Source organism: Homo sapiens, chromosome 2 (genome assembly GCF_000001405.40).
Source record: "Homo sapiens chromosome 2, GRCh38.p14 Primary Assembly".
Lineage (NCBI taxonomy): Eukaryota > Metazoa > Chordata > Mammalia > Primates > Hominidae > Homo > Homo sapiens.
In genome coordinates, this window is record NC_000002.12 from 101,844,058 (window position 1) to 101,869,037 (window position 24,980).

A 24,980-nucleotide genomic window follows, 5' to 3' on the forward strand; every position below is an offset into this window, starting at 1 on the left:
TGTGATCGGTGCACACCCCTGAAAGCCCTGCTTTTTCCAACAGTTCCATTGTGAACGTGCCTGGTGAGTCTACTCTTCGCCGAGATTTCCTGAGACTGCAGCAGGAGAACAAGGAACGTTCCGAGGCTCTTCGGAGACAACAGTTACTACAGGAGCAACAGCTCCGGGAGCAGGAAGAATATAAAAGGCAACTGCTGGCAGAGAGACAGAAGCGGATTGAGCAGCAGAAAGAACAGAGGCGACGGCTAGAAGAGGTAGCAAAAGGAAAATGTCCAAGTTGGTTGGTCTTTTCTCTTTCTGCATTTACACTGGTAGTTAGCCACTCAGAGGAATATCCTCTGTAGCTTCCTGGGGTAATACTTATCCCCTGGCACAGCTGTTTACATAACTTGTGAAAGAAAGCTTACGCTTTGGACTGGCAGGCCTTCACATTCCTTGAGGCCTTAGAAATGTTTTCCTTCCTTGTGAAAACTTTAAGGATCTGCCCCACAGTTACTCATCAACATACTGTGTTAGATGCAGAGCAAGTGTCCCAAAGATGGCATCAGACCAGTTTTGTGAAGTCTTTTTGCATTATGGTTTAAGTTGGCTTGCTCAGGATTGACCTGATTGCTTTTCTACTCTCAGCCTCTGGGTCCCAGTTTGTATGTGCATATTTTTCTGAAACTTCAGACTTTTTCACATGAAAGTTTTTTTTTTTCTAAATGCCTTAACCTTGGGTATACTCAAGAGTAGGGGATGCAGATGAGGACAAATGGCTAATGCAGGGCTTAATACCTAGGTGACGGGTTGACAGGTGCAGCAAACCACCATGGCACACGTTTACCTATGTAACAAACCACGTTCTGCAGTGTATCCCAGAACTTAAAGTAAAATAAAATAAAATAAAAAAGATAAGATTTGGACATAGAGGCGGAAACACGGGAAGAGTGCCGCGTGGCAAGGGAGGCAAGATGGGAATGATGGTCTACAAGTCAAGGAAGGACCAATATTGCCTGCAACCACCTAAGCTAGGAAGAGGCAAAGAAGGACCCTTCCCTAGAGCCTTCACACCTTGATATCAGAGTTCCAGCATCCAGAACTGTCAGAAAATAAATTTTTACTGGTTTAAGCCAAAAAAAAAATAAAAATAAAAAAAAAAACCGAACACACACGCACACACGGTAAGGGATGCAGAAAACAATTTGAACCTGGAAGTTGTAGTGTCCTCTGGTGGAGAAGTACATTTTACACCACCTGCTCATTTAACTCATTAATATTGCTAACATTGGTAATGTGGTTACCTTACAGCTTTCACGTTTTTAATGCACAGAAATATATTATTTCCCTATACAGTCATGGGTCGCTTAATGACGGGGATACATTCTGAGAAATGCATCATTAGGTGATCCGTCATTGTGGGAACATCATAGAGTGTACCTACACAGACCTAGATGGTACAGCCTACTGCGCACCTAGACTATGTGGTGTGGCCTCTTGCTTCTAGGCTACAAACCTGTACAGCATGTTACTGTGCCTTATACTGTAGGCAGTTGTAACACAATGGTAAGTATTTGTATATGTAAACATAGAAAAAGTATGGTAAAAATATGATATTATAATTTTATGGGACCACCATTGTATATGCAGTTCATCATTGACCAAAACATGGCTATTTCACTTGGGGATCAGAAGAGTCTTTTGATTTTCTTTTTTTGACTGGCTTCTGCTGCATACCTCACAGGTCCAAATTTCTCATTCATTATCATTTCTGTTTTTATTTAATTCACAGACATTATTGTTTTACCTTTTTTCCCCCAGAAAAATGGGCCAACAACAGTAAAGCCCTGTATTGATATTATCCAGTGGAATTTAACCTATTAAGTAGCAACACATGCTATTAAATATTATCCTACTAATTTAACAGCACACTTTGGCATGGAATCTTTCATTCACTTTGTGTATTTGTAGTCTGGATTCTGAAAACTCTTTATAATTTGCCGCTTGTTTAGAAAAATCAGTGCCTGCTGAACTAAGGAGCCTGCAAATATTCAGCTAGGACTTTTAGAAGAAAACAGGACGTACGTTCCCCTGTAGTAGGGACAACTTCGCTGCTTTTATAATGCTTTTTGTAGCTAATTTGCAAATTCCTTGTGGTATTTTTGTTAAGACTCTTTTCAGTGTTCTTTGAACGTAATAAATCTTGAATGAGTTCAGAGATCTGTTCAAGTTGCATATTGACTGTACTTACTATATTAGAATGCTTGAGTTTTGAGACTCTGGCTGTTTCTAGTTGTTTCTTGAAGTGGTGTTTTCCACTATCTTTTTTTGATCCCGGCCTGTACTTTCCTTAAGCAGGTGGCATAGACTACTTTGGTGGTTTATAACTTGAAGTGCCAAGGACCAGATCAAGTTAGCACTCATTTGTAACACAGGCACTGGAAATGTCTTTCAGGCTGTCACTAGTGAGACGAGTATCCATTATCCAGCCTCTGCATGTGGTAGGTGGTGAAGGTGAGCGATGGTAGAAGGTGAAGGTGAGCGATGGCTCACAGGGAAGAGCTGAAATTTTAAAGTCATTTTGTTTTATAAGCTAAGTAGATGCTGGTGAATGTCTGTGAAAACAACAATTTTGTGCTTGTCATGTTTTAATTAGCCCATTATGGATTTTCAGTGTAAGTTCAAACTCAGGGTCATCTCTTTGAGCTTCTTAATTAGGAAAGATTAAGAAAATATTGGAATGGGAAAAGTCACATGAGTAGAATTCCACTGGTTTGGATTTTTGGTCAGCTAGCTGCTTGTTACTAGCCTGGGTAATTAAGCTTTATTTACACTCCAGGTCTGAGGAAGATAATTTGGGAATAGAGTGATCCCGTATTTGGGGGTTTGGTTCTAGGACTTCCCATGGATACCAGAACTGCAGATGCCCAAGCCCCTGATATAAAGTGGCCTACTATTTGCATATAACCTGTGCACTCCCTTCCATATATAGTCATATGTTGCATAACAACGTTTTGGTCAACAACTGAGTACATGTATGATGGTGGTCCCATAAGATTATCATGGAGCTGAAAAATTCCTGTTGCCTAGTGACATCATAGCCATTGTAACGTGTAATGGGTTGTAGCGCAACCTGTTACTCATGATTGTGGTGATGCTGGTGTAAACTCATGTATTGCCCTGCTGGTTGTATAAAAGTATAGCACATACAATTATATACAGTATATGTTACTGGGTTTATGTATTTACTATATTATACTTTTTAATCATTATTTTAGAGTGTACTCCTTCTACATATTAAAAACCAAGTTAACTGCAAAAGAGCCTTAGGCAGGTCCTTCAGGAGGATTCCAGAAGAAGGCATTGTGATCATAGGAGATGACAGCTGACAGCTCCATGTGTGTTATTTGCCCTTGAAGACTCTCCAATGGGACAAGATGTAGAGGGAGAAGATAGTGATATTGAGGAACCTGACCTTGTGTAGGCCTAGGCTAATGTGTATGTTTGTGTGTCACTTTTTAACAAAAACATTTTTAAAGCTAAAACATTTTAATTAGGAAAAAGTTTATAGGACAGAAATTTAAAGAAAGAAAATATTTTCTACAGATTTATATGAAGTGTTTGTGTATTAAACACAAAAGAATAAAATTTAAAAGTTAAAGTAAGAAAAAATTACATTAAGATTAATTTAATATTGAAGAAAGAAAAACATTTTAAAATAAATTTAGTATGGCCTGAATGCACAGTGTTTATGAAGTCTACAGTAGTGTACGCTAATGTTCAAGGTCTTCATATTCACTCACCACTCACTCACTGACTCACCCAGAGCAACCTCCAGCCCCTCAAGCTCTATTCATGGTGAGATAGCATTTGTAATCTTTTATAGCATGTTTTTACTGTACTTTTTTTGTGTTTAGATTCACAACTACTTACCATTGTATTGCAGTTACTTAGCATATTCAGTATAGTACCATCCTGTGCAGGTTTGTAGCCTAGGAGCAATAGGCTACACCATATGGCCTAGGTGTGTAATAGGCTGTACCATCTAGGTTTGTGTGTGCACACTATATGATGTTCATACAATGAAGAAATCACCTAACGACGCATTTCTAGGAACATATCCCTGTTGTTAAGCAACACATGACTGTACTTTATATCATCTCTGGATTACTTAATACCAAGTACAGTGTAAATGCCATGCAAATACCTGTTACACTATATTATTTAGGGAATAATGACCAAAAAAGTCTGTACAGATGCAGTGCTTTCAAATATTTTTTGACCCAAGGTTGGTCGAATCCATGTGGATGTGGAACCTGTGGGTACAGAGGCTGACTATTTGAGCCATAATTGGTTCGTAGCCCTTTATTGGCATTAAGGATTTAGTCAGAACTGTTTGAGGAACAGAGATTATTTTATGAATAAAGTAAGTAAAGATGGTCAGCCTCACTCATAAGATATTAAAACTGAAAGGAGATAACTGTTATCTATCAGCAGACTGGCAAAACATGATCCAGAAAGTAAAGGCTGTGGGCAAACACAGTGCAGATGCCACAAAACCAGGCCCACTGGGGTTGGGGATTTCTCCTGCCATCCACACACTCCTGTCTCTGCACCCTTTTTGCAGGTGAGGGAGGGTGCTTTTGCCCTTCATAGGTCCTTCATCTTTAAGAAATATGTACACTCCCACCCTCCATCTCCCTTGGTGCTCTCTGATAACTGCTGCTGCTGGTATCGCCCTCCTTTGCTTCTCTGCCTCCTCCTTGTCTCTTGTGTGAACTGGATCTTCTTTGGAAGTCCTTGCAACTCTTTTGGAGTTTGTCTCCCGGTTTTGCTGAAAATGAGGTTTTTGTTTTCTCTTCTTGTTTTGTTTGGATGGTTCCAGGAGGAAAAGGGGAGAATGCTGAGCTCATGCAGCCGAGTTCGTACTGAGAGTCTCAGCATTTCTTCCCTGCCCCTCCCCGCTGCTCTTCATGTGTGTGACTGTGCTCCCTGGGTCCTTCTCTTCTGGGTACACTCATATTTTGTCAGTTTACTCTAAGTGAATTACCCAGATTCAGAAAAGGATAATTTTCTTCCTCCCTCAAAAAGGTGTTTTGTTTTGGAGACAGGGTTTTGCTGTGTCACCCAGGCTGGAGTGCAGTGGTGCAATCTCAGCTCACTGCACCCTCTGCCACCTGGGCTCAAGTGATCCTCCTGGCTCTACCTCTCTAGTAGCTGGGTCTACAGGCATGCACCAGCATACTAGGCTAATTTTTGTATTTTTTGTTTTGTAGAGATGGGGTTTCACCATTGTTGGCCAGGCTTGTTTCTAACTCCTGGGCTCAAGCAATCCACCCGCCTCAGCCTCCCAAAGTGCTGGAATTACAGGCATGAGCCACTGTGCCCAGCCAAAAAGTTTTAATACTACTTTTCCTATTTAGAGCATCATCACATCTTTGGCTCATACAAGACTTTGGGTCTAGTTAAATTTTTTTTTGCATTTTGTTCACAAGCCAACCTTTTCTTCCATCTAGTATTTATTTGCTTTTTAGGAAAAATGAAGCTTACTTAATTGTGGTGTCATTTTATCTCAATAGTTTTGTGCTCTTTTTTTTTTTTTAAATTGAATCATGGTTTGGCATCGTTTATCTGTTCCTCTGTACTTTCATGACACTCACACATTTGGTTAGCATGTTTTCTTTGTTCTTTGTCTAAGTTTAATAAAAATAGTCTGGGCATGATGGCTTACATCTGTAATCCCAGCCACTTTGGGAGGTCGAGATGGGATGCTCACTTAAGCCCAGGAGTTTGAGATCAGCTTGGGAATATAGCAATACCCCATCTCTATTTAATAAAAAAATAAAGAGTAAAAGAAAATAAAAATATTAAACAAGATGGTGTCCTGGAGAAAACCTGATTAGTTTTCTGCTACTTGTAATTTGAACAGTACTGATAGGATATTCAGGTCTTTCCTGTCTCAGAGTCTTTTAGCTGGTATTTAAAAAAATTTCTTACATCTTTCCTTTCAAAGCCTTTACCCCTGGACTCTCAGTTGTCACTTTGTGATTTTGGAAAGTCTGCTTCCTCAACTAAGGGTAAATGTTAGTGTGAGCATCAGCAGTTTCTTTTTGCCTTTCTTCCACCAAGAGGACACAGAGTAACATTTATTTCTGTCATTCCTACAAAATCCCAAAGGGATTTCTACAAATCTCAAAGTTAAATTTTAGAGGGGCGGTGGAAGTAGAAGACATTGAAAACAAAGGGAAGCAAGAGGAAAAAAAACTCTGTGTGAAATGGGATTAGTATTGATATTAAATTGTAACACTAGGAAAACATAAAAGTTTCTCAGTAAAAAATTAATAAACTGTGCCATGCATGCATTATGTGTTTCTTGGTTCCGAAATTTAGAAGGAAGGCAGTGAACTCCTTTATTCTGAAGCACTTTCCAGCAGTTGCTGTGTATTTTAAAGAAATAACAACCATTTTCTCACTCCTCCTTTCCTACAGAAAAGGTCTTTGTTTTGCAAGCCATTAGTATCTAACATTAGGAGTACATGTTAGCACATGCTACCTTTCTTAAAAAAATAGTTCCAGCTTTAATACACACAGTAATCATAGTGTCCTGGCATGCCAGTGCCCCTACAGCTAAGGCCTTGCTTCCTGTCAAGCTAGCAGCTCAGTTGGTATGCAGAAGGTGGCTGGCTTGCATTTAAGAACTCCTCATAAGTTCTTAAATATTCTCTTGGCATCCCAGTCTGGCATTTGGTTATATTTGCAGTTAAATTTTGTAGCGAGTTTAATTCCTCATACGTGATTTATTACCTAAAGATGGGGAAGAAATGAATAGTTCTCCACTGTAGCTTCATCAGAACTTACAAATAAAAAAACTCAGGGGTTGATGGTATATCTGTGTAGTAACATGACCGCAGAAGTTCTTGGAAATAGCAGTCCAAAGAATTAACTAGTTTATCAAAATATGTTAGTTTCCACTGAAGCCAGTAAATCCAGTGGAGTATATTTAACTAGATCTCACTATTACTAGTGTAATTTTATTTAGAAAAGTTTTTAGAATTGTGAGATGAAAGCTTTGCTTTTAAATACCAAACTAGAATAGGAACTTAGATAATTAAAGCTTAGTTGGACAAGTACATATTTACTTAGGCACGCTTGGGAAAATTTAAGTAATAAAATCTCTGTAGTTTGAGAGATTTGATGATCACGTTAGGACATCACACAGTTTTTCTGTCTGTTTGATTTTATTTTTAAAGAAAGGATAATTTAAGAAAATAAATTACATCAGTTTGTAAAAGCTTCAAAAGATTGTATCATGTTTATCATTCTTAGTTGGGTAAGCCTGAAGAAGCATGTTCATTAAAATTCCCTGGGCTTTGTTATTTGCAATCATAGGCATAAGGTTAACAGTACAGACTGATGTTATTTTGTTGATGGTGTGTATGTTTCAGTTTTTGATATTTTCTTTTGAAGTTCTAATGCAAGAGGCCAGCTTTTCACATTACCTATTAAGATATTAAGGACTTTCTTAATTTTTTAATGATTCCTCTTAGTGCCCCCAGCTACCTCCAAATTGAGGGCCTATTCTGAATGTAGTGGTTTTTATGGTTGGTAGTTTAAATTCTTGCTCTCGATCTAGTTTACCACTTCAACTATTAGAATATAATGTGGAAGAGAAGTTGGTAACTGTCCTCTTTTTTTTTTTTTTTTTTTTTTTTTTTTTTTTGCCTTAGCTATTGTTCTTAACTATTTGGTCCCACTAACCAGGACTTGCTTAGTGGGATAGTCTTGGGAGATTTACCACTTTCCACATTGTCTTCTACGTTTTTTTAAAGGTATGTGACTCACCTAACCTGCAAGATTTGGAGGAAAGGAGCTGTTTCTAATTCATCTTTGTATATCTGTGGTGCTTAATAAGTATTTCTCAAATAGATGGATTAGTTGTTTGTAGTCTTGTGTGTATCTCTGGAAAGGAAGGGCTCATTCAAATTTAAGCCTATGTGAAAATGAACCCTTGGGCTTGAGAGCTCTAATTTGAGTACCAGAGGTACCTTAGAGTGAGTACTTTAGAGGACCTTATACAATATCTGGAGGCATAAAGGAGGTGTTTTTTTTTTTTGTTTTTATTAGTATGAGGCACTACCCAGAGTAATAATTAAATCTCAAGACTTCGTGCTCTTACTTGGTGATCTTGAAAAGATTGCCTTAGGATTTGATTGGATTTCGTAGGACCTAGAGACCTAAATGGATTCCTGAGTCTGTCATCACTCTAAATGCTAAGCGTTGGGTAAATTCACAGCAGTTTCTGTTAAGATGTCATATGCTAGGTATAAAGGTTAGATTCAAATAAAAAAGTATTGAATTTCTCTTCTGAAGGTAATGTGTGATATTTACTATAGGGGGAAAAAAGGAGATAAGACATGGTTCCTGCTTTCAAGACGTTTGGAGTCTCTTTTGTGTTGATCTAGTAACCAAAGGTATAGTAGTATCACCTGAAATTAAAAAAGAAAAACCCTCTCAGAAGGTTTCGGTTGAAGTTGAACTTTTTATATAGCGTATCCTGTTTGTAAGATGTTGTTTGCTTGCTATTTTTTCTTTGATAGTGTATTTTGAATTAAATTTATACATTTTTATTAGTTGAATAAAATGTAATTATGTTGACATTATATGTACATATATACAGAGAGAGTATGCACACGTGTGAACATGCACAGTTAGACTACCCTGTCTTGTGCAGCTTGTGTACTGAGCATCCCCTGCCCCCAGCAGGTGCAGATATATGCTACCTGGGAAAAGTGAACAACAGAGACAGGGGAAAAAACTGAGTATGTGGTGAAAGATGAACTAAAACAAGGGCATTAAGTGAAAATGTAAATACTAATCAGTGTGACTGCAAGCATGCTCACTTCACTCAGCTCCCAAAATGGTGGCAGACACACTTATTACAAATGCTGTATCTTTTTCATGCACCCTTTCCTCAACCCCGTAGGATATTGGAAGGATTCCCAGAATATTGTGACGATTTCTCTCTGGAGATAACTGATCAGCCCAAAGGAAATAAGGCCCCAAGTGAAATGATCAGGGTGAATCATAATCACCTTACTCTGTTGCTAAGTAGTTGCCAGGTGCTGTTTGTCTATACAGTCCTTATAGTTTGCATTTTAGAATCTTAAATGTAAATGGACAGCCAAGATTACCAGACACTGAGAAAAATCTCTACCATGAAAGATTTTGGAAACAAATAGGAAAAAGAACTCGAAGGATATAGAGACAGTGGGGGAACAGAGCAAAGCATCTCCTACATATATACATATACACACGAACAGACACAAGACCTTATCCTTGGAAAGAGAAGATACTGTATTTATGGAACAAGAATACTCAGAAATTAAGAAGGAATTTTTGAGTTTTTTTCTTTTAATGAACACTCCTAGACAGTGGGGAAGAAAAGACAAGTTGGTGGATAATAGGACACAAGGAAAACTTACAGAATCAATCCAGGATGTCCAACTTCTATTTAATAGATGCTCTAGGAAGTGAATACTACAGAAAGAACATACAGGAATAATTTAAGCAAAATTTCTGGAACTAAGAAGTACGAGTTTCTGGATTGAAAGCCTCGCTGAATACCCAGCACATGAATGAGAAAGGGCTCACACAAAGGCACATACATTATCGTGTATGTGCACATACATACATATATACATACATCATCATCTTTAGAATATTGAGGATGAAAAGAGGATCCTAGAAGCTGAAGTTGGGAGCAGGTAGAAGAGTGTGGAATGGGTCCTGTACTAAGTATCAAGAATCTGAATGGTCTCAGAATCTCTAGGAGCAACATCAGAAACTAGAAGATGACATAGCACTGCCTTCAAAACTTGGAGGGAATGTTAATTTTCTTCAGCGGAAATTGTGTGTAACATGTTAGGGTAAATAACAATTTTGCAAAGTTCCCAGAGATTTTTTTGTTTGATTTTGTTTCGTTTTGCCTCTTCTTCTCTCTTCCTCAAGAAGCTGCTGGAGGATGTGTTCCAGCAAAGTAAGAAAGAAGATGACAAGGATTCCCGGGAAGTTTGTGGACAGAAATATAGGATGACTGGAAAACAGTCAGTCTCCAAAAATAAAGAAAGAATACCTGATTTCTTCAACTGTGTTGAAAGGAGTGTTATGGTAGTGCAAGAGACTTTATAGATTATTTGTGATAGGTCCATAGAAACCCGGTGGAACAAACAAAAAGTGAGATGAGTAATAACACCTTGATAAATAAAGATGGCATAGCCATTAAAGTTGTAGTTTTTAGATACTAGAGCAGGAGCATCATTCATTTTATGACCCCATCTCCACCCATGGGAAGCTGATGAGTTTTGTGTATTGAATTCGAAGAGCAGAGAATGGGGGAAAAGGAGATTCCCCCATTGAAAACCTAGATAATGAGAGAGGCGGAACCAAAAGCAGACTCAGAACTTCACTGAGAATAATGGGGGTGTAGTAGTCAGGTGAGAGAGACTGGACTACCAAATCATCGTTGCTATCCAGTTATTCCAGATGAAAGATACTACTTTACATTTCTTAGGGCATCATTTTTAAGTGTTGGCTTTCAGATTAAATACTAGTTGAGAGTGGTGGGAAGACCCAGAAGGAATACTTAAACTATAATAAATATGTACTTTGTGTATCCATTATAAATATGTCTAACATCCCTGATAGCTTTACCCTAAGCTTTCTTGTTTAATGGTTAATTTTAGTGTCACAAATAAAGTTTGTGTTAATATTATTGGCTCTCTGTGTCTGGGAAATTTGATGGCTGTGCATCCCCTAGAGTTGCTGCTACCCAGTAGCCACTAGCCACATTTGGCCATTTAAATTAAAATTAACTTCAGTGCAACAAAATTAAAAACTCAGTTTTTCATTCATGCTAGCTATATTTCAGGTGCTCATTAGCAACACGTGACTAGTGACTACGGAGCAGTGCAGAGACAGAACATTTTTATTATCCCAGAGAGTCCAGAGTCTAGCTTGTGCTTTACTGGCAGACAGCCTTGAGCTAGAAGAGTGAGTTGTCATCACGTGCCTGGCATGTCATCTTGCTCTGTTCTGTAGGGTTACATAGAACAGTCTGGATTTAGAAAGGCTGAGTGAGTCTGGTGATTCAGTAGCACCTTTTACACCTGTTGATGGGATGCAGGGTAGAGGGTGGTTAAGAGTATGTATGGGCCGTAGAGGCAGAGCAGCTCTTCCAGCTGGGGGCTTGCTGGCTGTGTGACTTTGGGCAAGTCACTTACCTTTTCTGAACCTGCTTTCGCATCTGTAAAGCAGGGATGAAATAATGACTTCCTTGGGTTGTTAGGAGAATTATATTAGGTAAAGTAAGTGGAATAGAAATATCAAATACTTAGCATAGTGCCAGGCACATAGTAGTAAGCATTTGCTCAGTAGCAGTTTCTGAAATACTTATATTAATAATAATGGTCCTGGTTATTCTTGTTGACGTCAGTTCCTCTTTTCCTGATGTGTGCTTCTTTTTTTCCTTTTTTAAATTCTTTGTCTGTCTTTGCTGTATTTCTATTTCCCTTTATTTCTTTCTCTTAATGTATTTTTCTTCTGACTTAAGGGTCCTGCATAACCCTGTTAATGATATCCACGAATAAAGAATTTTCTGTCCCCTAATTGCTGTGGTGCAGTGAGCAGTGGGGAATAATTGTTATCAAAATGAAACTAAACCCTATAAGGATTCACAGAGTCACAATACTTTTGACCAGCATTCATGAAGAAGCCCTTACTTATGGGTCCGAGGGGCAGTGTGGAAATAATTGGCCAGTAGATATGGGGCCCATGAACCTCACCTCATTAGTGTCCACCTGGCACTGACTGATCAGCACACTATAACATCATGAGAAAGATGGCGGGAAGATCCCTGGTAATTATACATTTTTACTTACGTAGCAACAAAGGAGAGAGCGGGAAGCTAGAAGGCAGCAGGAACGTGAACAGCGAAGGAGAGAACAAGAAGAAAAGAGGCGTCTAGAGGAGTTGGAGAGAAGGCGCAAAGAAGAAGAGGAGAGGAGACGGGCAGAAGAAGAAAAGAGGAGAGTTGAAAGAGAACAGGTTAGTTCACAGATAACATAGCAGGCATACACTTGTGAAGTTTGTTACTTTGCAGAGCTGGGGGATTTTTAGAAAGTATACACACATGTGATGCATACACACATGTACACACATACACATATACTTAGAACTTCAGATGTATGAACGTGGTGAAACACAGTTGGAATGACACCAATAAATTCAGTCTCTTGTCTTAAAAAGGGTTTATAAATCATTACACTTTAGGAACCTGTTGAAACCAGTTAAGTGGTCTCTAAATAGTATAATACCTGAAAGATGTCTGCATGTATCTTCTCAGGCTTGGCTTAAATGCTGTAGACCCCAAATATATGGGTGATAATTAACTTTTAAAAAAAAAATGAAATTAAAAACCAACAGTAAGAAATTTCTTAGGAGAAATATTTGAATATCCAGTGGCTAAGTGAATACTGTAATATATATCAGCATGTAATTCTGTATATACACAGCACATTAAAAAAACTAACATTGATGAGTTCAACCAAAAAAGATCAGGTTTTAATAATATTTGCAGCATTTTATTAATGTCAGGTATGATTTTATTTAGAATTATTTTTTTGTTTCCTGAACCACCTGTACAAATACAATTTGCCCTTAGCCCCTTTGCCTTTCTTGTCTTTGAATTGATCTCTTTGTTATGAGCTTGGAATAAAGAAAAAAATGATATGTGAGGACCAATTTAAATAGCACTTGGTATCTGTATTTTAAACTTATAAACCATGGTGTTAACTTTCAAATGTGACTGTTCAGCTGCCGTCCTTTATGCTTATCATGTGTCTTGGGCTTTCTAAGCTTGGGTCTGCATGCTCCTCGGTGTTTTCCCAGGAATTTCAGTGACGCTTTTTATGTTACCTAATTGACGTTGTCAACCATTTAACTGTGTAGCGCGTGTGCTTTAACATTCCACTTATGTTTATACCTGGGGTCTGCAAAGAGGAAAACATTCAAGCTTTTAAGAATTAAATCACCTAGAAATAATGATTACAGTTCGATCATGAGAGGAGGGTGTGATGGTAGCAATTCATCTTTAATGCTCTAGTGGCAGTCATTAAATTTTGTGAATAGCAAGTATTTGGCACCACTTTTAAAAAAAAAAATTCTAAAATCGGTTTTATTCTGTTTTTCCCTGTTCTATTGTGAAATAGTAATTCCCATGTTAACAGTGCTGTAGGACGCATTTCATTTCAGCATAAGTGTGTATGTTTGTGTAGATGCGTGTTGTGTATTGTTTGTTCATTGACTATGTGTTAGGACCTTTGTGGTTTGGAGAGGACATGATTTTTCCAGCTGTCCCTGTGTTGAGGGCAGAAAACAAATGAGTGTACTGACTTGATCTTTCGAGTTAAGATTTAATTCTGTTTTGTTCAAAAAAGAAAATGAGTTGAAAGTCAGGTTCCTTTGCTCCGTCACAGTTGGGTTAAGGCCACAAGCCTTGCTAGGGTAGGTATTGCTGTAGCATGTACCATGGAGGGTCAGACATAGACACAAGAGACGTAGATCCCAGGTCAGAACCAGATATGTTTGTCAGTAGCCTTCTGACTAAGTCCGCCCCACCCCTCTGCCCACACCCCCCCAGTTGGCTTTTTTGGCTCAGTTTTCTTTGTAAAGTAAGGTTTTCTAAGGATTTTTATATGCTGTAATTTCAATATTCTCCCAGAGATATTGGTTAACTAAAACTTCTGTTCAGCCCATATTGATGGCTATTTTTGTTTCAAGGTGTGCACCATGACACAAGGGGATGGTCAGCAGTAGACACTCTTAAAAGGGAATCTGAATTTCAGGATAAAATGTCTCCTCGTAGTCCTTCTTAGTCTATTCCTCTTCTAGAGCTTTTTTCCCTGTCCAAAAAAAGGAAGCCTCTTTGGCTTGTAAAATGTTTTATGCTTTTCAAGGTTATTTCATATCAATCTCATGTCTGAACCTTACAAAAATTCCTGAGGGTTGGGAGAGGAGATTTTGGATGCTCATTTCTCAAATGAGGAGACTGAGAAAAGGGGAGCTTTAGAGCATGCTAGGGATCATAGAGCCAGTCCTCAGTGGAACAGGGACTGAGGCCTCCTGGTATCCCTGTCCTTTATAATACGCATGCAGCTTTGAAGTAGGGTTTTACCCCTCTCTATAACATATTTGGGATGTGTTTACTTGTTTTCATTGTTATAATGACTAATCATTCTCTTCTCATTGAAAAGAAAAACCACCCCATCCTCACTTCCTGCTGTCTTTCTCTCCCCTTGTCCTTGTCTGTCTCTGTCTGTCACACACACACAAGCTCATCATGGAGCCTGGGTCTGTTCATTTGAGGAGAGTTGCCCAAGTCTGGAATGTAGTCATTCCAGGTGCCTTTGGAATTGTTAGTGAAAGCATGAATCATGTTTGTTGTATTTTATTATTAAGCAGGTTTTGGTTTTAGGTTTCAAAAATTGGTGATCTGTGCTTGTTACAAATAATGACTAATAAGCAGATGTTTACTAATCAGAACCCTCTGATACTTTTTAATTAAAATCTTGATTTCTCTGGGGTTTACCAACCTTAAGAGGAATGGCATACTGTTTTAAAATTCTGTATTTGTTTACAACAGCTGTGTTCTAACAGAAGTACTCTTAGATCCCTTCGTGTATATTATGGGAATGCATATCATCATTTGTTAGACTCCTTAGGTCTTACTGGCCAATTTGAAGTTCTTGGAGAAATCTTTAGCAATAGATTTTCTTCAGGTATTTACCACTAAGTGAATTGTCACTAAAGGTGATTGGAGCAAATGGTTCTTGGTGCTCCATTCAGGTGGTTCTGATGCTTTTCTTTGGGATAATTTGATTGCTGGGTGATTTCTGTGTGACAGGAGTATATCAGGCGACAGCTAGAAGAGGAGCAGCGGCACTTGGAAGTCCTTCAGCAGCAGCTGCTCCAGGAGCAGGCCATGTTACTGGTAAAGCCCCGCCTCTGTTTCATTCTGTAGCATCAGGGCTCCTTCATCCGTCCCCAAAGTTGAGCAAGCTGTGGTGGTCACCAGACCATTTTGGTTTTGCTGTGGGCAGCCAGGCTGAAATAGTGATGCCCATTTTGTGGTCCTATTGCTAGCACATTGCAACATGGTCTTTATTTATTTATATCTCTTTAATAAGTTAATTGTTCTTGTTTGGTAGACCAACAAGGTTTTGAACAGAACTTGGCACTCAGTGAACACACTAGAATGCTGAGGGCAGTAGGTTGAAAGCACATGTCACAGGATTTTTACCTAGTATCTATACCACTAAAACTCACATTTAATTGAATTATCTCTTACTCTGTCCAATGATAATTATGGTTAGCAACAGCTGTGAGATTTTTCCACAGGTAATGTGCTATTTAAAATCCCAGCCATTTTGCTTTCTTACAAAACACAGAGGGAAAATATATGGTCACTTTTTTTAAAAGCCGAACAAATCCAGAGAAGAGGCGAGCTCTCCAGTGTCCCATAGATTTAGTGTTATCCTCTCCCTCTCCAAGGAGTGCCGATGGCGGGAGATGGAGGAGCACCGGCAGGCAGAGAGGCTCCAGAGGCAGTTGCAACAAGAACAAGCATATCTCCTGTCTCTACAGCATGACCATAGGAGGCCGCACCCGCAGCACTCGCAGCAGCCGCCACCACCGCAGCAGGAAAGGAGCAAGCCAAGCTTCCATGCTCCCGAGCCCAAAGCCCACTACGAGCCTGCTGACCGAGCGCGAGAGGTATCCTCTTTCCTTTGTCACTTAGACATTGCCCTGGAAAGTCGTATAACGACTCTTCAGAACTGTGTCATATGAGTTCTAGAACGGGCCATAGAGTTTAGCTAATTATCTGGTTTCTTCATTTTCTAACTAGGAAATTGAATTTCAGAGGAGTGGAGGGCCTTGCCCAAGGTTTCATATTCAGTCAGTGCTTTTTCCATAAAGGACCAGAGTGCCTCAGTTAACATATCCCAGAAGAACTTGAAACTGAACTAAACTAAAAGATTACATGACACAGTCACTCTTAAAAATGTGGATGAGGGAAAGAGTGGTCTGATGAACTATTCTGCCAAGCTAGTATAAAGCTAAAGTGTGCCTGTGGCTCAACTTTCTGACTTTGCAGATGTCAAGATGCCCTGCTAGATTGGTGCATTAGGGTTACCCAGAGCCTCAGAGTAGGCTGCGGCAGGGACTGCTCGGGGGTGCAAGATGGGCGACAGGTGTGCCTCCAGAGGTGTTGAATCCCGGCCCACAGGTGGCAGCAGCCTTCTATTGTGTCTGCCCTCACAGGCAGTAGATTCTAGAAACAAGTGTTCTGTTTGTTCTGGAGTGCTTTTATATTTGGTGGAGTGAAATGCATTCCGGATTTCTGATGATAGTTTTTTAGTCTGTTGGTTTAGTTGCTTGTGACAGATTAATTTTTTTCTACTTCATCATCATATACAGTCTTAGAATTCTGAGCAAGGAGGAGAGCTTAGAGACTGCCTTGCTAATTTTTATCTTCATAAATATTTTCTTTTTCCTGAATCTAATCCTAGCACTGCTTTATGTACCTTCTTTTTTCCAGCTACCCCTCTCTTTTCTGGTAGCAGAAGAAAACAGAAAACTTACCTTTAGATTTCTTCCACTTTTAGACTTTCTTTGATATTTCTGCTTTTCCCCTACTAACACTGAGTTATGTCTTCTAATTCTCTGATGCAGGTGGAAGATAGATTTAGGAAAACTAACCACAGCTCCCCTGAAGCCCAGTCTAAGCAGACAGGCAGAGTATTGGAGCCACCAGTGCCTTCCCGATCAGAGTCTTTTTCCAATGGCAACTCCGAGTCTGTGCATCCCGCCCTGCAGAGACCAGCGGAGCCACAGGTAGCGACAGCCAGCTTTGCTGTGGTTGAGGAGACTCATGCAACGGCTCGCTGAGCCGCAGGCCTGCTGTAATATCACAGTTTAGTTTGTCACCACACTGAAAAAGAGGAGAGATTAGCAGGAGTGAGTTTAGACTAAAAGAAGGCATAGACTCAGTTGATAGGGAAATATCTTTTTCTTTCTTTTTGAGATTTCTATGTACTCATTAAGAGTATCTAGAGTGAGTGATTTCTTCTAACTTTTTGCCTTCCCTAACTCAGGTGTTAAGTGCCTCCTTTTTCTGATACAAAGATCTTTTAGTTTAGTTTTTAGAGAACTGGGATTATAAATACATAGAGGGAGAGCCAGGAATTTTCTTTGAAGTATTTTAAAAGTAAGCGCTTTACTGTGTGAGCCCTGGCTCTTGGCCAGTCCTATGAATGGGCCTTAGATGATGCCCCTGAAATTGCATGCAAAATGTCTTTATTTGCTCAAATGTGTATTTTTTGTGGGGGTGGGGGGAATGACCTTTTATCAGATTCTCACAGGGTTCAAGATCCAAAAAAGTTTAGATCTAGTGGGTTAGGTGTGGATTTCTCTGAAATAGGCCAGGGAAAAGGCTGTGACCTCTCCTTGGGTCTGCTGCAGCGTTCTAGCCTTGGCTAGGTGAGGGGAACTGTTGGGCCGATGCTGTGTGGCTGGAGCAGAACCCACAGTGCTGTCCATAGAGGAGAACAAGCAACGAAGATCATGGCTAAAGATCTTAGAGATCCTTAAAATGCCGATTCCTAATCTCTTGCTGAAAACTACTGACTTTTAGATATTTTCCCGCTTGCCACTCTGTAATCCAGAATATTAGGAACAAGTTCTTAAACTCGAGTTTACTTTTCACTGGTGTTTGCATGTGTGGGGGACAAAAGTTTATGTTCTTGTGGCAGGAAACTGTGGGATCTGCAGCATGGAGGAGTTAAAAAAAAAAAAAAAAGGGCTGGGGCACAGTGGCACGTGCCTGAAATCCCAGCACTTTGGGAGGCCGAGGCAGGCAGATCACCTGAGGTCAGGAGTTCGAGACCAGCCTGGCCAACCTGGCAAAACCCCATTTCTGCTAAAAATATAAAAATCAGCCGGGTGTGGTGGCAGGCACCTGTAATCCCAGCTACTCAGGAGGCTGAGGCAGGAGAATAACTTGAACCCAGGAGTGGAGTTTGCAGCTTGCAGTGAGCTGAGATAGTGCTACTGCATGCCAGCCTGAGTGACAGAGTGAGACTCCATCTTAAAAAAAAAAAAAAAAAAAAAAAAAAAAGGAACAGCTAGGACTGAGGCCAGGGCTGTGTGAGGGTGAGTGGGTATTTCCATGGGACCAGCAGTTTTTTGAGTCCCAGGAGAGCTAGCAGATGGGTAGCTCCAGAGAGGAGAGGATAGAAAGGAAAGAGGAAAGCAGGAGAGGGTAACTGGACACAATTAAAAGAGGATGAGAAGAGAGACTACTAGAATAGGTCTGAGGACTCGTGTTCTTTAGCAACTTTGCACTGCTTGAAGATTAAAAGTTTTCACACTGCAAGTTAAACTTCGCATAAATGGACAATCTTTGGCCACTAATAGTTTAGAAAATAGGAGTTTCTGAATTATCTAATTTTTGCATTTGTTATGAATTTGTGTAGTAACTAGAAAGAGTCTCCCATTTCCTCCTCCTGTTCATTCTTTGGGGGAGACTTTTCTCGTGTAGGACTCTATTTTAAAACTCATTTTTGATTATAATTTCAGGTAATACTTTGAATTACATGCTTTATCTCTGAAAATCTTAAACATTTTAGAAGTCTAGGATTATACCAATATCTGGTATTATACAAATCTCACCTGTATATTGTAGAAATCATACAATAGAACTAATTTCACATCTTGTATTTGGAAAGGTTGAACAAATTGATTCAGTATTTTCAGTTTATGTCAAGTACATTGATGTAATAGATATGTAGCTATCATTTTTTCAGTTGCCATATTGAACAATCATTTTAGAACAGTAAAACATAATTTAATGAAAATATTTTATGGATTTTTTCAGAGATCATTTTCCCAATTTAGAAGCAACCAGATAAACTCAGTTGACAAGTAATTGTCATATTTTTGTAATTTCCCAAGTGGAAGGAATACCCCAACAATAGTCAATTCAGGGAATCCATGGTACTGAATATTTTTAAAGAAATCACAATTCTTTATTTTCATCACTAATATGAAAGTATATGGAGATACCTGGGTTATGGGTGTTTGTAGACTTGGGAAAAATAAGAAAAATTGTTGGTATATTTGAAAAATTAGCTGTTCTTGAGATATTATAGTCTCAAAACGTGGGGTTTGTCTTTGCTCGTTGAACGTGCCATTTTGTTACTCGCTCTGGTGTAAAATGTGACACTGCAGGTAATGTGAGGATGGCTAGGTAGGTTTGCACATTTGGCAGTGCGCTTTATCTTACAATTTTTCTGCCTCTCTCTGCCTTTCCAGTCTCTGCTTTGACATGGATGTGCATGCAACACATCATAACCCCTTTGGGCTCTGAGAGCCTCTTTGTGGGGAAAAAAAAAATAAAAATCTTCACATTAACTGCTATCTGTAATGTTTGTCTGGATATTAAAAAGAGTTTTCCTTGTAAATGTACATTTGTTCTTTTCTACATACTGTGTTCCCAGACCACTTCTTCACTTTGAAGTGTAACTGTTTCACTGCGTGGCTGACCTAACACTGTACCACCCCGGTGTGTATTCCGCCTCTGCCAGTTCCTGCTTTGGATTTGGTATTGACCAGAAAAGCCAGTTTTATGCAGAACGCATTGAATGTTTTGTGTTTTGTTTTCTTGTAAGGTACAGTGGTCCCACCTGGCATCTCTCAAGAACAATGTTTCCCCTGTCTCGCGATCCCATTCCTTCAGTGACCCTTCTCCCAAATTTGCACACCACCATCTTCGTTCTCAGGACCCATGTCCACCTTCCCGCAGTGAGGTGCTCAGTCAGAGCTCTGACTCTAAGTCAGAGGCGCCTGACCCTACCCAAAAGGCTTGGTCTAGATCAGACAGTGACGAGGTGCCTCCAAGGGTAAGGAGCAGAAAGACAGATGTGTGCTGCTTTTTTCCTTTTTGTTATTTTTTTTTAAAGATTATTTATTTTAATTATGGGTATGCAACTTGACCAAATTTAAAGGGGCATTGAAATTTCAAAGGGACTTTTTACTGGTGAGGATAAAGTTCCATAGTTAGGCAATTCTGTTTAGCCAGTGGTCAGTTAGCGTTTTATTTTTGTTAACCCTAAATAAGGTAGCAAAATGATGTAAGAGTAAGTCTACAAAGAATAGGCTTCTTAAACAAATTCATAATCTATTTTAGCAGTTTTTTATATGTTTATACAGAAGCTATGCAGTTTTGCAATATTAATGTCAAAATTTTTAGAAAAAGTCCTATAAGAAAAATTTTATTTTCTTTTTAAATGTAGGGGATTTTGTTTTGTTTTTGTGTTTACATAATAGTGAAATTAAACAAAGGAGCCCATGTCAATTTATTTTTCCTCATTTGGAATTTGCTTCCTCTGAATATTTTCTTGCTTCCTGCTAGTCTTTGCTTCCTGCTGATCCATTTATAGACCATTGTTTGGTTTCTTTGAGCTTATTTTCCTGATTCTCACATTATCTCAGCAAATGCTTTGTATGTCCCTGCTACCAAGCTTCAGTCCAAACATCATTTAAATGTTACAGGAGCATAGAAAGCCTGTTTGTACTGGCTTCTTGGATGCTTGTGACTAAATTTTCTCTCCGATTGTATCAGTGTAGGACCAGGGAAGGAGTTGGGGTGGGGAGTGGAGGTGATAGGAAGGACTGCTTTTAAATATTAGGACTGCTTTAAAAATATATTTTGGTAGGGAAGTATTTTTTTTCCTTTTCATGTTTTCAATAATTTAATTGCTATATTTTCTACTTAAAGGTTCCTGTGAGAACAACATCTCGCTCCCCTGTTCTGTCCCGTCGAGATTCCCCACTGCAGGGCAGTGGGCAGCAGAATAGCCAGGCAGGACAGAGAAACTCCACCAGGTAAAAGACAAGTGAGCACTGAGAACAGGCCTTCTGTGCAGTCTACCACAGCCTTACATTGTCTGTTTCATAAAAATGCTCTTAAACACAGACGTTCTGGGGCTAAGAGATTATCAGTTATAAAAGGAAAAGCTGCCATAAAATCCATCAACGTGGATGGCATCAAGTTGATGTGTAGTAAAAAGTGGGTTTGAATCCGGATGTGTATTATAGCAACTCTGAAATTTAAACTACTTTTCTCTGTAAGAGTAAATGGAGGGAGCAGCAAGGAAGGGGGAGAAGTTCTAAGAGAATTGTGATCGGGGGGAGCTTTTCATCTAAGGGATGTTGTAAGGCCTGTGGCATAAAACAGAAATCACAAACAGGTTACTAAAGAAGTCACTGGTTGACTTCACAGTCTGCAGTAAACAAGTGAATTCACCAAATACTATCCTTTTTAGGTTCTAGAGCTGCTCTGTCCAGTACGATTAGCTACAGAAGCTTCCTTATATTTAAATTAAAGTTTAAGTTTAGTTAAAATGAAATACAGTGGAAACTTCATTCCTTAGTGCACTGGGTATATTCATGAGCTCTATAGCCACATATAGCTAGTGGCTATGATATTATCCAGCTCAAATATAGAACATTTTCATCATAACAGAACGCTTCATTGACCAGCACTATCATAGGGAAGAAAAGATGATTATGTTGAATGTTTTATATCTTGATCATCACTGAACCTCTAAAGTTAGCCTTCTGCGCATGGAACCTTGGTCTGACTTGAGGTGTCAGATGGATGATAGCCCAAAAGCTGCACAGAATCCTCAGCACTGCTAATGGCAGGGGGACTGTGGTGTTCTTCCCTGACCAAGTCTGTGTCATTAATTCTTACCTAGCACATGTGTGCTTTGGGTCCATCCATGGCAGGAAATCCATCCCAGCTCATGCTTTCTGTACCGTTTCCAACAGCCCATACAAAGGACTATTCTTTGTAAGTGTCAGTTTTTGAGAACAGTAACAGGCAGGTGAGAGCAGCAGCCTAGAAACAGAATATAGTTTTGTGTATAATTATACAAATACGGAGTGTTTTCCTAATATTAAGAACTGACTTGTAGCTGTGACAGAAATGGTGCTGCTTCTACACTGAACAGTAGCATTGTATCTCACACCTGATGATTTTAGATCTACTAATGGTAGGATATCATTTAGCATACAAACTAAAAATCGATAAAAATCCATGAACAATGTCATTATATCTTTTGGTGAATTTAATGTTGAGTGCTGTTTATAGACTGTTTTTTGTCTCCCTACACTTTAAAGACATTGGATGGGCACACCATGCACATGTTGGTAATTTGGTGCTGCATCTAGAGATGACACATTAGCTGTTCTCTCTTCTTCTTTTCTAACAGCAGTATTGAGCCCAGGCTTCTGTGGGAGAGAGTGGAGAAGCTGGTGCCCAGACCTGGCAGTGGCAGCTCCTCAGGGTCCAGCAACTCAGGATCCCAGCCCGGGTCTCACCCTGGGTCTCAGAGTGGCTCCGGGGAACGCTTCAGAGTGAGATGTAAGCTGCCTTTCCTTTCCTTTTTCCCTGCTAATGTTTTGAGCTGTGATCCATATCTTGGAAGTTTGTCTTAATCTGTAGTTTGCGTGTAGCCACACGTCACAAAACAATGTTTTAGCATAGGTTGCTAGTGACAATAATAGTCATCCTGATTTTAATCATAAAGGAGCTAAATTTTGAGAGCTTTATATATACCTAGCACTGTGAGCGCTTTACAATTTAGTGGGATTAACTAACTTTCCCAAGGTAATTGGCTAATGTGTGAGCTAGGATTTGAACCCATTTCTTTCGGTCTGGGCTCCAGAGCCTATACTGTCATCAATATTGGTTATTTTAATGTACTCATAATAGATGAGTGAATATTCCCTCTACTGTATTATTGACATACCATGACAAGGTATATATTGTGAACACGTGTCAAAGTGAGTGTGATGATGGAGGGTTTAAGTAAAGAGTCAGGAAGGCTGCTGGAGCCCTCCTTGGGCCCCCTCTGCTCTGTAATTCAGACCTGCAGGTGGAGAGCCTACCATGAGTGGGCAGACAGGAGTGGGCGGGGTGGGCAGGGCAGCTTCATAATACACATCCATATGTTGATATGTGTCTGTCCATCTTGTCCCTTTTGAACCCAACAGCATCATCCAAGTCTGAAGGCTCTCCATCTCAGCGCCTGGAAAATGCAGTGAAAAAACCTGAAGATAAAAAGGAAGTTTTCAGACCCCTCAAGCCTGCTGTAAGGATTGTGCAGGATCAGTTTTACTTATTTCAGACTTGAATGAGATCTTTCTATTAAAAATATGTGGTTGAGAGGCCTGCAGTCTTTTCTGCGAGGGCCCCTCACAGATTTGAGGAATTATAAGGAATGACCTAAACCCCAGACATACTTGTTCCCTTCCATTGGTATCGTCTGCTTTCCCTGTATAAAGTCTCAAGTGAGTAAAACCTTTTTTCTGTTGTTCCAGCCATACACTTGGTGTACAGTCAGCCTTACAAAATTATGCAGAACAAAGTATAGTTCTTATTTAATGAAATTTCCTTCTAAGGAAACTGATGCTTTAAAAAAAATACAAAAGAAAGAAAAGCCTTTTTATCTCTTTCTTGGCATTAACCTTTACTTATTCTTCGTGAGTTCAGCATTTACAATACTGGCTTTTAGACTAAGTTTTTAAAAATCACCTTCTTAAACTCACTGGTTGCCTACCTTCTGCTTTTTGGTACCTGGGGTGATAGTTGTGACTGCTTCTCACCCTTCTCTTTTAATCCCTCTGATGTTACCTGACCATGTAATTGTGCACGCTTTGTGGAATTTTAAGCCTGTCAGAGTTTTCATTTCCTGCTTGAACTGATTTCTGTACTTCTCCCTCTCCCCTTCTTTCTCCCGCGCTTCCTTGTACTGTGCATTCCTCATCAACGATGGCTTCTCGGACTCCACGAAACTGCGCTGTACTGAAGGGCGAAGTGGTAAGCGCCATCTCTGAAAAGTTCCACTTCAGAGCAGCACTCCGACCGCCTGTCAGCTCAGCTTGTATTCGAGCTGCGGTCCTGCTCCTTCCTCAACTTGACTTCTTGTTCTTTTCTAGAATTTAAAAACCTCAAACTTTACTCCAGTTTTCTTAACATAACATTTGCTGTATTTATTGTTATTAAATGTAGCTTTTTTGAGTAACTGTTTAAAAAGCTTCAGCTATAACCACGAAATACTAATAGCAAGACTCAGAGCCCATCACTGTTATTTCAGTGGCTCAAGCTCAAAGAAAAGAAACATTCTCAACTATGAAGAAAATAGAAAACCAAGTTGGAACTGCTAGAAATTAAAGACAGAAAGAGCTACATAGACTGCGTTTTTAAAAAGTGATTACTTTTACATAAAATTCCCCAAAAAAGATGAATTTGGAGTTTTATATGAAAATGTGGAGTATAAATAGTAATCACTCTTGAAAATTATATTTGGTGGATTGATTGAGTCTTAGAGTATCTCAGTGTGGAAGAGTAAAGGGAAACTAAGCCTTTTGAACAAATTCCACTATTGATTTCTTTCTGATGTTCCCTTTTATACGTGGTGTCACAGGGTGATGTGGGTAAGGCTTGAAGGAGGGCGTTAGGGACGCCCACAGCCTCCTGCCCCCAGCACTCAGGGTCGCAGTGTCTCTTCATGTGTCACAGACTTGTCCATGAATGTGGCAGGTTGTGAACAGTCGGTGAAGTGAGATGTCAGTGGCATCCTAGTGCTCACTTCACTCCTTTCATTTTAATGTAGGTTTGAAGTTTTTTTTTTTTCAGTATGAGGTAAAATTCTAGATCAACAAATGTATATACACAGATCCTTGAGCTTTGGTGTAAAGACACATGTCTATATGACAAAGTCTTCTTTAAAGGGGTCAGTCCAGAAAGCAAGCCTCTAGTTAAATAAGCCTGATTTAAAGAGTTTTGGGAGGGAAGTTATGTTTCTACAACTTTTATT

General features: G+C 39.5%; 1 protein-coding gene across 55 annotated transcripts in view; it reads left to right on the forward strand.

The window, feature by feature from the left end:
• MAP4K4 (mitogen-activated protein kinase kinase kinase kinase 4) overlaps window positions 1–24,980 on the forward strand; it is a 196,984-nt gene that overhangs the window by 146,351 nt on the left and 25,653 nt on the right. For 6 of the 55 annotated variants that reach the window (NR_169279.1, NM_001384493.1, NM_001384485.1 and 3 more), the window contains 9 exons: window positions 44–254; window positions 11,920–12,081; window positions 14,939–15,025; window positions 15,586–15,807; window positions 19,764–19,994; window positions 20,873–20,979; window positions 22,371–22,522; window positions 23,155–23,252; window positions 23,972–23,980. Coding sequence is in view for 51 of the 55 variants with exons in the window: in NM_001384493.1 (NP_001371422.1) it covers window positions 44–254; window positions 11,920–12,081; window positions 14,939–15,025; window positions 15,586–15,807; window positions 19,764–19,994; window positions 20,873–20,979; window positions 22,371–22,522; window positions 23,155–23,252; window positions 23,972–23,980 (1,279 nt within the window). In the remaining 4 variants the exon portion in view is untranslated. Of the gene's footprint in view, window positions 1–43; window positions 255–11,919; window positions 12,082–14,938; window positions 15,026–15,585; window positions 15,808–16,767; window positions 16,930–19,763; window positions 19,995–20,872; window positions 20,980–22,370; window positions 22,523–23,154; window positions 23,253–23,971; window positions 23,981–24,980 lie in introns of all 55 variants that reach the window. The other 49 variants (NR_169280.1, NR_169281.1, NM_001242560.2 and 46 more) reach the window with 27 other exon arrangements.